At 38.6% G+C, this 12,599-nt stretch overlaps 1 long non-coding RNA gene across 1 annotated transcript in view; it reads right to left on the reverse strand.

Annotated features, from left to right (window-relative positions):
• The window catches only part of LOC105371665 (uncharacterized), a 37,592-nt gene extending 31,400 nt beyond the window's left edge, over positions 1 to 6,192 (reverse strand). The window contains exon 1 of the long non-coding RNA XR_922383.2: positions 5,968 to 6,192. This is a non-coding gene — a long non-coding RNA (uncharacterized LOC105371665). The remainder of the gene's footprint in view (positions 1 to 5,967) is intronic.
• Positions 6,193 to 12,599: the final 6,407 nt, after the last annotated feature.

Here is a 12,599-nt window from a genome sequence, read left to right on the forward strand (position 1 = left end):
AGTAATGCCATTTCCCTTTTCTACATCATATAGTTTTGTGACCGTGAATGAGAAAATGAATGTAAGAAAATTCTCAAGTCATAATATCCTATATAAAAGTAAGGTGTTATTAGCAGGACTTTAAAGTGAAAGCTAAAGAGATTATTTGGGCCTATTAATAATTTGTCACAGACTTTATCATTTATAAGTTTTAGATGACTTTCAGTTTGTAAGGGCTCCAAGTAGCTATTCATGTTTCTCTAACCCCATGAACATATATCACTCAAAAATCACCAAGAGCCTAATTCTTATTTCGTAAAAAGCCTGGGGACTTGAAAAAGATAAAAGTCTGACCTATGTTAATGCCTACACTCAATCATATAATATTGAACATACCAAAGATTTCTAAAATGTATTTCAGAACAGCAAAACCAGTTTTCAAAATAGCAAAACCAGTTTTCAAGTAGCACAATTAACATAGTCCTTGAGAGTGAGAGACGGACTGTGTGGAACAGTGGGTAGAATAATGATGTCTTCTGTTTATACTCATTCCTGTGAAGTCTTAGTGCCTACGTTCTTATCCCAGTTCTCTCAGTTACCAACAAAGAAGGTAAAGCTATGAGCAAATCTTCTATTTAGATAGCATATTTAAAAAACGTGGAAATTAAATAGGCCATGCCGGGAGCCTGTGTATTATTTGTTCCTTTTTTGAGAAGACATAAAATGAATGCCACAACCAAAGTATCTTTCCAAATGATTAAAGACAATTCCTTGAGAGTAAGTAGCCATGCATTATATAACCTTGCCATTAAACTAGTGGCAACTGATTGAACCAGAGATTTGGGCATTAACTTCAGAAGAGCTACTTGGAGGCTGACAGCAGCACAGGAATGTTCTGGAACCAGAGCTGTGTCAAACAGGGGTACTCTAGGCCAAATAGTAATGATCCAGCCTAAAAGAACCTTTCCTGAAAATTTGAATTTGAGATATAAAAAGGGAATTGATAGGGCATAAGGACAGTTTAACTTAGTATTTAAGAATGTGGTATGTGAAGTCTTAGTGCCTACATTCTAATCCCAGTTCTCTCAGTGACCAACAAAAAACCTTAAAGCAAGTGAGTGAACCTCTCTGGACTTCATTTTCCTCACCTGTAAAATTAGAAAAATAATAGCATAAGAGGTTGTCATTAAAAAAGGGCAATTGATAATTGTTTGGCACCTAAAATAAATCCACTAAAACAGAGTCCAGAAATTTTGAGCAAATGGTCAAAAGTATGATTATGACTTTATCTTAAAAATAAAATTAGAATTATAAAAATAAGTATTTTGAAATATTACTAATATTTAGATTATAGCTTTCAGTATATACCAAGTATTAGAATGAACAAAGTGTCAAGTCATGGAGTTAGGAGGACAAAACAAAATGCTAGGATAATACGGTTCACGTTGCATTTCGCATTTTTAAGAATATATTCCATGACTTCTAAAATTATTCCAAGACTTTACTACTCAAATCTTTCTTTTTTAGCATGTTTATTATGTTGTGATCCACGTCAATTTTATCTTCTCCAATTGTTAACTGGCCACATTCCCAAATTCTCATTTATCAATGGCTTTTCTGTTGACAACTTCATTAAATTCTACATCTTTTGCAAATTTTACTATTATGCTTTGAATTACATTTACATTGTATATGAGTGGTTTGTTAATCACCAAGACTAATAATAAGTGGGGAGGAGTTTTGGGTGGGAAATATATAGTCTTCTGTTCATTCATGAATATTTTCTTATGTGATGGCTTTGGGGCTCCCTGTGCACTCAATTTGGGGACTAAGGTAATGAATAATCAGAAAAGAAAGACACCCTATACCCTGTGAGTGTAAAAATGAGACTTTGTTTGGCACACAGTAAGCCTCTAATGGTTTCTTATTTGTATTTTTTAAAATAACGCAATAAGCAGAAGCCACTGGCAGAAACAAGGAGAGAAGAAAGGCGTAACGAATCAGTGATGGAACAGGAAGGAATCAACTGAGGGAAGCAAAGGGCTGCTGAGTCACAAGCATGACAGGCAACTAGAATCAGCCCGGGCTCCCCAGAGCTGCTGCTCATCCTGAACACTGCGGGCTTGCTCAGAATTTCCTGGCTGTCCTTTCAGACTTCGTGTGCATCGTGACAATACACCACTCTCACCTAACGGAATCTAAGGATGTCGCTACCCTGAAATAGCCAAATATTCCAGTTGAATCTATTTGTTAAAGCTTAGTCAACCAGATTTGTTTCTAAGGAGACACTGACAATAAAAATAAAAATGAAAAACAGAAAAACATTATTTTCCCTGCATAAAAGAGCCCTTTTCTTTTTAGATCTTCCTGAGTCTCAAAACTGTTCTCTTCCTTGAGTTTCAACAAATCCCAAAGGACTCTTTCTTCAACTTTCACATAAAAGAAAACAATTCCTTAATAATATATTAAGTGTATCATTAGCAATTTACAATTCACAAAGCATTGTATATCACATTTACAAACGGAGGGTTTAAATATAACAAACCCTGTAAATGGAATGTAGAAATGTTCATTTTTAATAAGATCCCTAGTTAACTAATCAATCCCTTATTTCACATTTTCCACTACTAAATGAGAATCCACTTCCAGTTTTACCTTTCTAGGAATATTTGTATGTCATCTAAAGTTGTGAGTGTTTGTTTGTTTGTTTGTTTATTTGTTTTGAGACAGGTTCTTGCTCTGTCGCCCAGGCTGAAGTCCTACAGCACTATTGCAGCTCACTGCGGCCTCGACCTCGTAGGCTCAAATGAACCTCCCACCTCAGCCCCCTGAGTAGCTGGGACTACAGGCACACACCACCACTCCTAGCTAATTTTTGTATTTTTGGAGACAGAGGGTTTCTTTATGTTGCCCAGGTTAGTTGTGTTTAAAAACTCTTTAGCCACACATACATGAAGAGTCTCTTGGTTTATTTCATAAATTACTAGTATCATCTATAAGCTTTTCATTCACTAATTCATTATTTTATTCAACAATTGTATATTGAGCAGACACTTACTATGTACCCAGTAATGCATTAGGGACTGGATCTCAGTAGCTTAACTTTCAGAGTCAAACTTTTGGAGACCATCATGACACAGCCAGGATAGCCATGAGGAGACCTGTTGATGGCAAACCAAGAGGAGCTTCCTAAGGAAACACTAAACGCATGTGACTAAATTCTACAGTAGAAAAATTACAGACTTGGAATTCAAATCCCAGCTCTGCCATTGACTTGCTTGCTATTGATTTGGGGCAGTGCCTTTGCCTCTCCAAACACCTATAAAATGGGAACAATAGCACCTATCTCATTGTGGCACCAGGGTAGGACATAATGGTAATATATGTGAAGCGTCTGGTCAGTCAACATCTAATAAGTGTTCAATAACAAACAACTGCTGTTCTTATGAAAGGGGGGTAGCCTTTTTTCTAAGGGAGGTTCTTGGAAACCCCAATATTATGTATTATTAACATTATTATTTTTAGATGGAAAAAACTTAAGCACAGAGAAGTTAAACCATTTATTCATGTAACAATTTTTTTAGCACTATGGGGGGTACTAATCTCTGCAAATACAGGATTCAGAGGACAGAGTTTGAACCCAGCGCATTCACTGTCTCACAGAGGAGACACAGGATAGTGCTAAGTGCCCCAGAAAGGGAAGAACAGGTTTGTGGGAAAACACAGAGAATGAGCTCATTCAGAATGCAGGGTAGAGTGGGTGACAAGGAGGCTCCCCAGAGGGAAAGTCCTAGTTGAGCTGGAAAGGAAGCATCCTGACCAAAGCCTGGCCTTGAAACCAAATCGCTGTCTCCAAGATCAGTGAACTTCCTACTATGCCAAAGCCTCTTTAATTAAATTCAATTAAATGTTTTCTTAGCACCCACTCTATGGAAAAGTCTGTCCTAGATGGAAACAAAGGTGAATCATTATAGTTCTTATCTCATGAAAGCAAAGGCAAATAAGACAGGCATTCAGATAACCAACTCAAAACATAAAGAGGCAAAAGAGAGTTTCATATTAAAAATCAGGTACTGGGCATCCTACTTCGGCTTTCACCTATTCTCAGACTTTCAGTCTAGATGCTACTGATTCCTCACAGCCCACATGATAACAGGTCACTAAATAGCCACAAAGGTGAGTTCCGCCACATCACTATCATCCATGCTAGTCTGGACAAAGCTGAATGGATATTATTCACCACCTTATCTGTGAATTGTAATACAATTTCTTTAATTTATGATTAACAGAAATTGAAAGGAGTTTCTTTTATCACTTGCAGGTGTGAAGAATTTTATATTTCACTGTAAACAATGTTTCTGCTTATTTTACAATGTTTACTGGTGAAATCTATTTGAACATATTTTATTTGAGGTGTCTACAAATTTATCTTTAGTTTTTTCTTTTTTTTTTTTTTTTTTTGAGGCAGGCTCTCACTCTGTCACTCAGGCTGGAGGTCAGTGGTGCAATCTCTGCTCACTGCAACCTCCGCCTCCTGGGTTCAAGTGATTCTCCCACCTCAGCCTTCCAAGTATCTAGGACTACAGGGGCACGCTGCCACGCCCATCTAATTTTTGTATTTTTTGGTAGAGATGGGGTTTCACCATATTGGCCAGGCTGATCTCAAACTCCTGACCACAAGTGATTCTCCTGCCTCAGCCTCCCAAAGTGCTAAGATTATAAGAATGAGGCCACCGTGCCCGGGCCTTTAGTTTTCTTTTGAAATGCTTTATTCCTCAGATTTGGGTATCAGTATTATGCTTGCTTCAAAAAATAATTGGGGAAACTTCCTCTCACTCTGTGCTTTGGAGCAATATAAGAATTATCTGGTTCTTAGAAATCCATTTGATCCAGCAATCCCATTACTAGGTATATACCCAAAGGATTACAAATAATTCTACTATAAAGACACATGCACACGTATGTTTATTGCAGCACTATTTACAATAGCAAAGACTTGGAACCAACGCAAATGTCCATCAATGATAGACTGGATAAAGAAAATATGGCAAATATACACCATGGAATGCTATGCAGCCATAAAAAAGGATGAGTGCCTGTCCTTTGCTGGGACGTGGATGAAGCTGGAAGCCATCATTCTCAGCAAACTAACACAGGAACAGAAAACCAAACACCACCTGTTGTCACTCATAAGTGGGAGTTGAACAGTGAGAACACATGGACACAGGGAAGGGAACAACACACACCAGGGCCTATCAGGGGGTTGGGGGCAAGTGGAGGGAGAGCATTAGGACAAATACCTAATGCACGTGGGGCTTAAAACCTAGATGACGGGTTGATAGGTGCAGCAAACCACCATGGCGCATGTATACCTATGTAACAAACCTACACGTTCTGCACATGTATCCCAGAACTTAAAGCAAAATTTAAAAATAATTTAAAATTTTTAAAAAAATCTGGTTATTAATGGCTTTATACAGTGCATCCAACAAAATCCACTGAACCCTGTTTTCTCTACTCTTTAACAGCCACACTCAGTGGTCAGCACAGACTCATCTTTAGAATCCTTCTTAATGCAGCACTCCTCAAAACCATTAAGTGACAAGCGTGGATTAGCTAATTTATTTTCAATCTTTCTGCTACATTATGAAATTAATTTGACTTGGATTATTTTCTGTATATGTCTTTGAACACATCCCATAGATTTTCATATATGATTATCCCACTTCTAATAATTTCTAAATAGTCTTTGACTTTTATTTTCTCCTCAACCTATTAGTTTTTTATTTAGTACACTATCCATATAAAGTAATATGTAAGGAAACATACGATATAGGTCACTAGTAAAGTTTCTAAAATAATTAAACCCTCACCTCTTGCCCTCAGTACATCCTTGTTTAAACCTCTGTTGCTCCAAAATGAAAACTCTTTCAGGATAAGTTGAGGAAATTACCCACTTACTTACTTCTCAAGAGGCTCCCTACTTACCTGCTATGCAAGTCTGATTAGTTTGGTTTCAGTGTGGTTCCCTGTGTTTCACACACTCCAGAAGTTCTACATTTCTTATATGTCAATGGTATAAAAAGTAGCCTTTTCTCTCTTTTCCAGTAGTCCTACAGCGGTTTTCTTTTTTTTACCATTTTTATTCTTTCAATGGACTGTAAGAGGGGTAGGCAGAGGAGGAGATGTAAGTACATAGGCTCCAGATAAAAACCTAAAAGCAGAAATCCACAATGTGTTTTTCTTTCGGAGTCCTTATCAACTGACTCGACTCTTAAGGTTTTCCTATTTGTTTTCCTCTTCTTGAACTTCGGTACATTGTCTAAACTGATAATTTTGCATGTTATATAACTGCTATAATAGATTTCAGCATTTGAATCCAAATAATGCAATAGTGCATTATTAGAAGTACGGAAATCCAGAGCTTAAGTGTAGTAAAAGTATGAAGAAAGTTGTTTTCTATAATTATGAAAGATTTAAAACCATTAGGGAATGTTCTGTCCTCTAAAATCTGTACTGTGTTAGGCCTCGGTCCATTTGCCTGACAGAAGCTATAAAGAGATAACTAACCTATTATATAATGGTTGAAAATGGAAACTCTTTAAAAGTCTCAGAAATAAGCTACTTTTATATTTGATTTTATTAATTATTAAATTAATTAAGATGTATAGCTTCATTCAAATATATATTACAAAAGATAGAAAAATGAGAATAAATAATAATGTCATCTGATTTTTTAATCCTGTGGAGTATTTTTAAATGTTGTTACTAGAGGAAAGATGAGATCATCCACATTTTAATAATGCTTAAATGAATAGCCTATATATCACTGCCTTGTCAATTTTCCCCTTGATTTGAACCTCTGTTAAGTAAACAAACAAAGTGTTCCATTTACAACAGGTAAGAACCATTCTTTAAAAAAAAAATAAGTTCTGTCTTAAATCTCAAATAGAAAGAAACTAATAAAAAAGAAAATTAACTTGTAAACAATGCAAAATTCAGTGTTAATATGGAAACCTTATAAAATTGCAAACAGAATTTAATTATGAAATCATGAACATATGAACCTCTGAACCAAGTAACACTGATACAGATAGCAGACTCCCTAGAAAAGTAATCATTCATTCATACTTCTGTAACCAAGTATCCTAATTTTTCTAAGAAAAAAAGAAACAGTATTTTTTAATTATTTTCTCTTCTTTCCTCTTTTCTCCATTTCTCCCTATCTCCCACTTTCCACTCAGCCTTTTAGAAATGAAAGGGTAACCTTTTACCTTCCCTTCACCAGATACTCCCTACAGGGCAAGTTGATCTAACGATGTGCTTAGAAGCTCCAGAACAGAACTCTCACCCACCAGTAGGTTGGTAATAGTCGATTTACAACCCAAAGTCCTGCTACAAAACTCTCTCTCACCTGGAGAGTTGGCCACCTTTACAACCTATTTCTGCCCATGAAGACACCAACTCGACTGCCCAGTAGATAAGGCACCAAGCTGGCAATGGAGTCCCCACCTGTTTACTACTACTCCTGTGTGCCATTCATGATAGACTCTCTTTAAAAGCACCCACTGTCACACGTGTCCATGTGAAGAGACCACCAAACAGGCTTTGTGTGAGCAATAAAGCTTTTTAATCACCTGGGCACAGGTGGGCTGAGTCCTAAAAGAAAGTCAGTGAAGGGAGATGGGGTGGGGCCATTTTATAGGATTTGGGTAGGTAGTGGAAAATTACAGTCAAAGGGAGTTGTTCTCTGGCTGGCAGGGGTGGGGGTCACAAGGTCCTCAGTGGGGGAGCTTTTAAGCCAGGATGAGCCAGGAGAAGAAATTTCACAAGGAACAGGTCATTTTCACTTCTTTTGTGATTCGTCAGTTACTTCAGGCCATCTGGATGTATACATGCAGGTCACAGGGGATATGATGGCTTAGCTTGGGCTCAGAGGCCTGACACCCACTTTCTGCTCCAAAGACAAAGCAGTACCCTTAAGGCAGGAAGCCTGTACTTCTTCCCTGAGCTAGCTTTGGAATAAAAAGTCACTTTGTTTATACCAGACCTCCCTCTTGTTAATTGGACTCTGCAAGCAGTGAGCAACTGAACTGAGTTTGTAACACTGTCATCCATCCATTCCCTCAGCAATGGCTGAGTATCCTCTGTGTATGTGCCAACATACAAAAATAAACACAATAACTAACAGTGTAGTCAGAGGTACTGACAAGACACTAGGCAATTGCAATTCATTACGGTAAATAAATTGATAGGTGCTGTGAGAATTGATAGGTGCTGTGAGAACATGTAGGAGAGGCATCTCACTCAGATGTGTTAGTGGAGGGAGGAAAAGTCTCCAGGAGAGAAAGTTTATTTAAGCAATACCTGAAGGAGTATGAATAATATAGAAGTTAGTCAGATGAAGAATGGGATGAATAAGAAAAAGGTCCAAGACAGAGGAACAGGAAGCATGGCATGTAGAAGGAACTAAAACAATTTAATAGGATAATAGCATAGAGATCAAGGCAGAGGCACTAAAAGATAAGGCTGGGAAGGCATTCAGGGGCCAGATATAAAGACTTTTGTAATTCAAATTAAGGAATTTAGAACTTAAGGGCAATGAAAAGCCATTAGTGGTTTTAAGAAGAAAAGGAACAATGATAAGTGTTTTAGTAAAATCATACTGACTGAAAAATACATAATTTAGAAAAAAAAGATGAAGATTAGAAGTCTTGCTTCAATTCATAACAGAGATAAGGACAGAATTAGAAAAGTGAAAATGGAAGTGGAGAGAAGGAGAAGTTCATATTTAAGAGTAAAATTCAGCCTGGACAACATAGTGAGACCCCATCTCTAAAACAATATTTTTTTTAAATTAGCCAGGTGTGGTGGCATGCACCTGAAGTCCCAGCTACTCCACAGGCTAAGGTGGGAGGATGGCTTGAGCCCAGGATTGCAGTGAGCAGTGATTGTGCCACTGCACTCCAGCCTGGGTGACAGAAGGAGACTCTGTCTCAAAAAATATTTTTTTAATTTAAAAAAAAATTGTAAAAAGAAATATAACTTTTTTTTACAAAGTTTTAAATTTGTATAATGGGCAGAAATAAGCAGGATAGATTCAATATGGGATTAGGAGAGGGTAGGATTCAAAGGTGACTACTCTCTCCCTCCCGTTTTTTGTCTCAGGTGTGGTACCATTCACTGAGACACAGAACAAAGGCAAAGAAACAGATTTAGGGGCAAGGATAGGAAATGCTAAATGCTGTGGGGTTTTTCTTTTGAACTGCCTTTTTGTCATCTAAGTGAATCAAGTTAGGACAGTGAGCTGTAAGGGTCTGAGATGAGCAGAGATCAGCACAAGGATTCGTCAGTATACAGATCACACCTGAATTTATGGGAGTGGATAGTAAATCTGCAGAACAAAAAGAGAAGACATCTAAGGAACTTCAACAGTTGAGCGACAAATAAGATTATATCTCAACATGAGATTTGGAGGGCACATCCAAACTATCACACACACCGTCTCATTGACAACAAATTGTAGGAATTTTAAAAATTCCACTTATTTCTACCTTCTTTTTTTTTTTTTTTTTTTTTTTTTTTTTTTTTTTTTTTTTTTTTTTTTTTTGGGGAAGATTGAAGGGAGACAACCTCTTCCCAAATAGAAAGAAATTTCTAGAAACATTTCCTGGCTTAGACATAAGAAACCTATGGAGAAAATTTTCCTGACCACCTTAAACTCACAGCTCTGCTAAGCCTTTAAATTCTCATAACCATCATCACTTATCCTCTTCTCTACCCTCCCCCAAAACACATATACTCACAAACACACTTCCTTATTTTCATGAACCTGTGTTCTTGACTGCTTCTCTCTTTCAAATCAAAGAGCAGTCTATTAAGGAGGTCTATTTATATGCTACATGGCAAAAAGAAACCCTAATATTTATTTTTTTTTAAAAAAGGGGGGATCAGAAGGATAGAAGTCATGTGGGAAAAACAAGTTATTAAAAAATGAAAAAATAAGAAAAAGTAAATAAATTAAAAAGGGGCTTCACAAAGCATAGACAACTTCCTCCAGACACTCTTTATGTTTTATCAGTCATCTGCCAGCCCAGGAAGGAATCATGGTGTTCCCCAAGAGGCAGGACAGCCAGGAGCTGTCCACCTCAGATATGGAAATGAGAAAATAAAAAACAAAATGTCATGTTGGCTGAAATTCTGGAGCTCTTAATTGCTGCTGGTATTTCAGGACAAGACGTAATGGCTTATCAGCTTTTGGCAAGGTAATAGGTTTTGGAAAGACTTGGTCCACCATTCCTTGCTATCTTGACATCAGTGTTGATTTATTCTTTCAGGAAAACTCTACAATCAATAAAAATAAAATAAAACATACTAGAAAAAGTATCTCAGCCCTTCCAAAGATGAAGTATTCACACCAGCTTGAACCCCACTGATTCAGGATATGGATTCTATTCACACATTTCCTCCTCTTTAAAGAAGAAACTGAGGCCTATAGCTATAAAGAGTTCCCTGGAATCCTGCAGTTATTCAGCACTAGGCCTTGCTGCATCAGCATCTTGGACACCTAAGTTGTGGCTTTGCCCATAGGACAGTATGTGCTGTGGAGGGTCACTCCTAACCTGGTCAACAGAGTGCAGTCATTTCAGAATACATGTGTAGCCATCTCTGGGTTGGCGTTTATTGTGATCTCATCTCTGTCAGCTCAAGTATCCCAGCTTTTCTTGACAGTGGCTGCTGAAGTGAGCCATATAAACAGAAGAAATTGGTGACTATATCAGCTCCTGTTCTATATCCTACTTTCAGAAAACCTACAGGCCCCCTGAGGATCATGACTTCATGAAAAGGCAATCAAATGAGACTTTGACATCTCACAGTCAGGGTGAACTTTTGAAAATGTAGATTGGATAACTGCTCCCCAGTGACTCTCTGGTGCATCTGCCGTTACCATGGGCAGAAAAGACCAGGCTTATAACACAGGTTATAAGACAAGGGTAAGAAATATGTGGGCCAGAGCCAAGGCTGGAGCTGCACTTGCCCATATCAGCTGACCTCAGCACACATGAGGGAGCTCAGCCAGACCTGCAGAGCCATACAGCCCAGCCCAGCCTGGCCTTGCCAAAACCAGTGGGCCCCACAAAGAGTTGCAACTTACTTCACCAATTTCACCTTTTAAAATGAAGGAAGAGCTGGGCACAGTGGCTCACATCTGTAATCCCAGCACTTTGGGAGACTGAGGCAGGAGGACCCTTGAGCTCAGGAGTTCAAGACTAGCCTAGGTGACATAGCAAGACCTTGTCTCTACTAAAACTCAAAAAATTTAGCCAGGCGTGGAGGCTTACACCTATGGTCACAGCTGCTCAGGAGGCTGAGGAGGGAGGATCACCTGACCATAGGAAGTTGAGGCTGAAGTGAGCCATGAACGTGCCACTGCACTCCAGCCTGGGTGACAGAGCCAGATGCTGTCTCCAAGAAAAAAAAAAAAAGAAGAAGAAGGTAGAAATAAATGGAATTTTAAAAATTCCTACCAATTTGTTGTCAATGAGATGGTGTGTGTGATATAGCTTGGATGTGCCCTCCAAATCTCCTATTGAAATATAATCCCCAGTGTTGGAGGTAGGGCCTGGTGGAAGGTATTTCGATCATGGGGGCAGATCTCTCATGGCTTGGTGCTGTCCTCACCATAGTGACTTAGTTCTTAGAAGATCCAATCGTTTAAAAATGTGTGGAACCTCCCCTCCCTCCCTCTCCCTCTTGTTCCTGTTTTGACCGCGTGACGTGCAAGCTCCCACTTTGCCTTCTGCTATAAGTAAAAGCTCCCAAGACATCACCATAAGCAGTCGCAGTACTATGCTTCCTGTACGGCCTGCAGAACCATGAGCCAATTAAACCTCTTATAAATTACCCTAGTCTCAGGTAATTATTTATAGCAATGCAAGAATGGCCTGATAAAGTGATTTTTAGAGAAAGGTTCTCACTCTGTTGCCCAGGCTAAAGTGCAGTGACACAATCATAGTTCACTGAGGTCTCAAACCCCTGGGCTCAAGCGATCCTTCCATCTCAGCCTCAGAATAGCTAGTACAATGGGAAAACATCACTGTGCCCAGCTAATTTTCATTTGTTTGTTTGTTTCTTTGTAGAGACAGTGTCTCGCTATGTTGCCCAGCCTGATCTAGAACTCCTGGGCTCAAGCAAGCCTCCCACCTTGGCCTTCCAAAGTACTGGGATTACAGGTGTGAGTTACCAAGCCTGGCCAAGACTGAGTTGTTAAATTCAGCTGAACAAAGCCTGGGTCCCCCACTTCCTAGGGATCAGCCCCTGTGAGGAAAGCTGCATCAGCATCTAATACCCTCAAAGATGATCATTCTGAAAAGAAATATCTTGAAGGGCTTCTGCATCATCAAACATTTCACCACATGCAAAAAGAGTTTGAAAAAATTGAGTTTTCCTGGCTCATAATTGGACAGTACAGTCTGGAGGTGTGAAAACTTTTTAAAATTCCAACTTATTTCTTCCTTTTTTTTTTGTTTGTTTGTTTGTTTGTTTTTTGAGACAGAGTCTCACTCTATTGCCCAGGCTGGAATGCAGTGGTGCGATCTTGGCTCACTGCAACCTCTGCC

Source organism: Homo sapiens, chromosome 1 (assembly GCF_000001405.40).
Source record: "Homo sapiens chromosome 1, GRCh38.p14 Primary Assembly".
Classification (NCBI taxonomy): domain Eukaryota; kingdom Metazoa; phylum Chordata; class Mammalia; order Primates; family Hominidae; genus Homo; species Homo sapiens.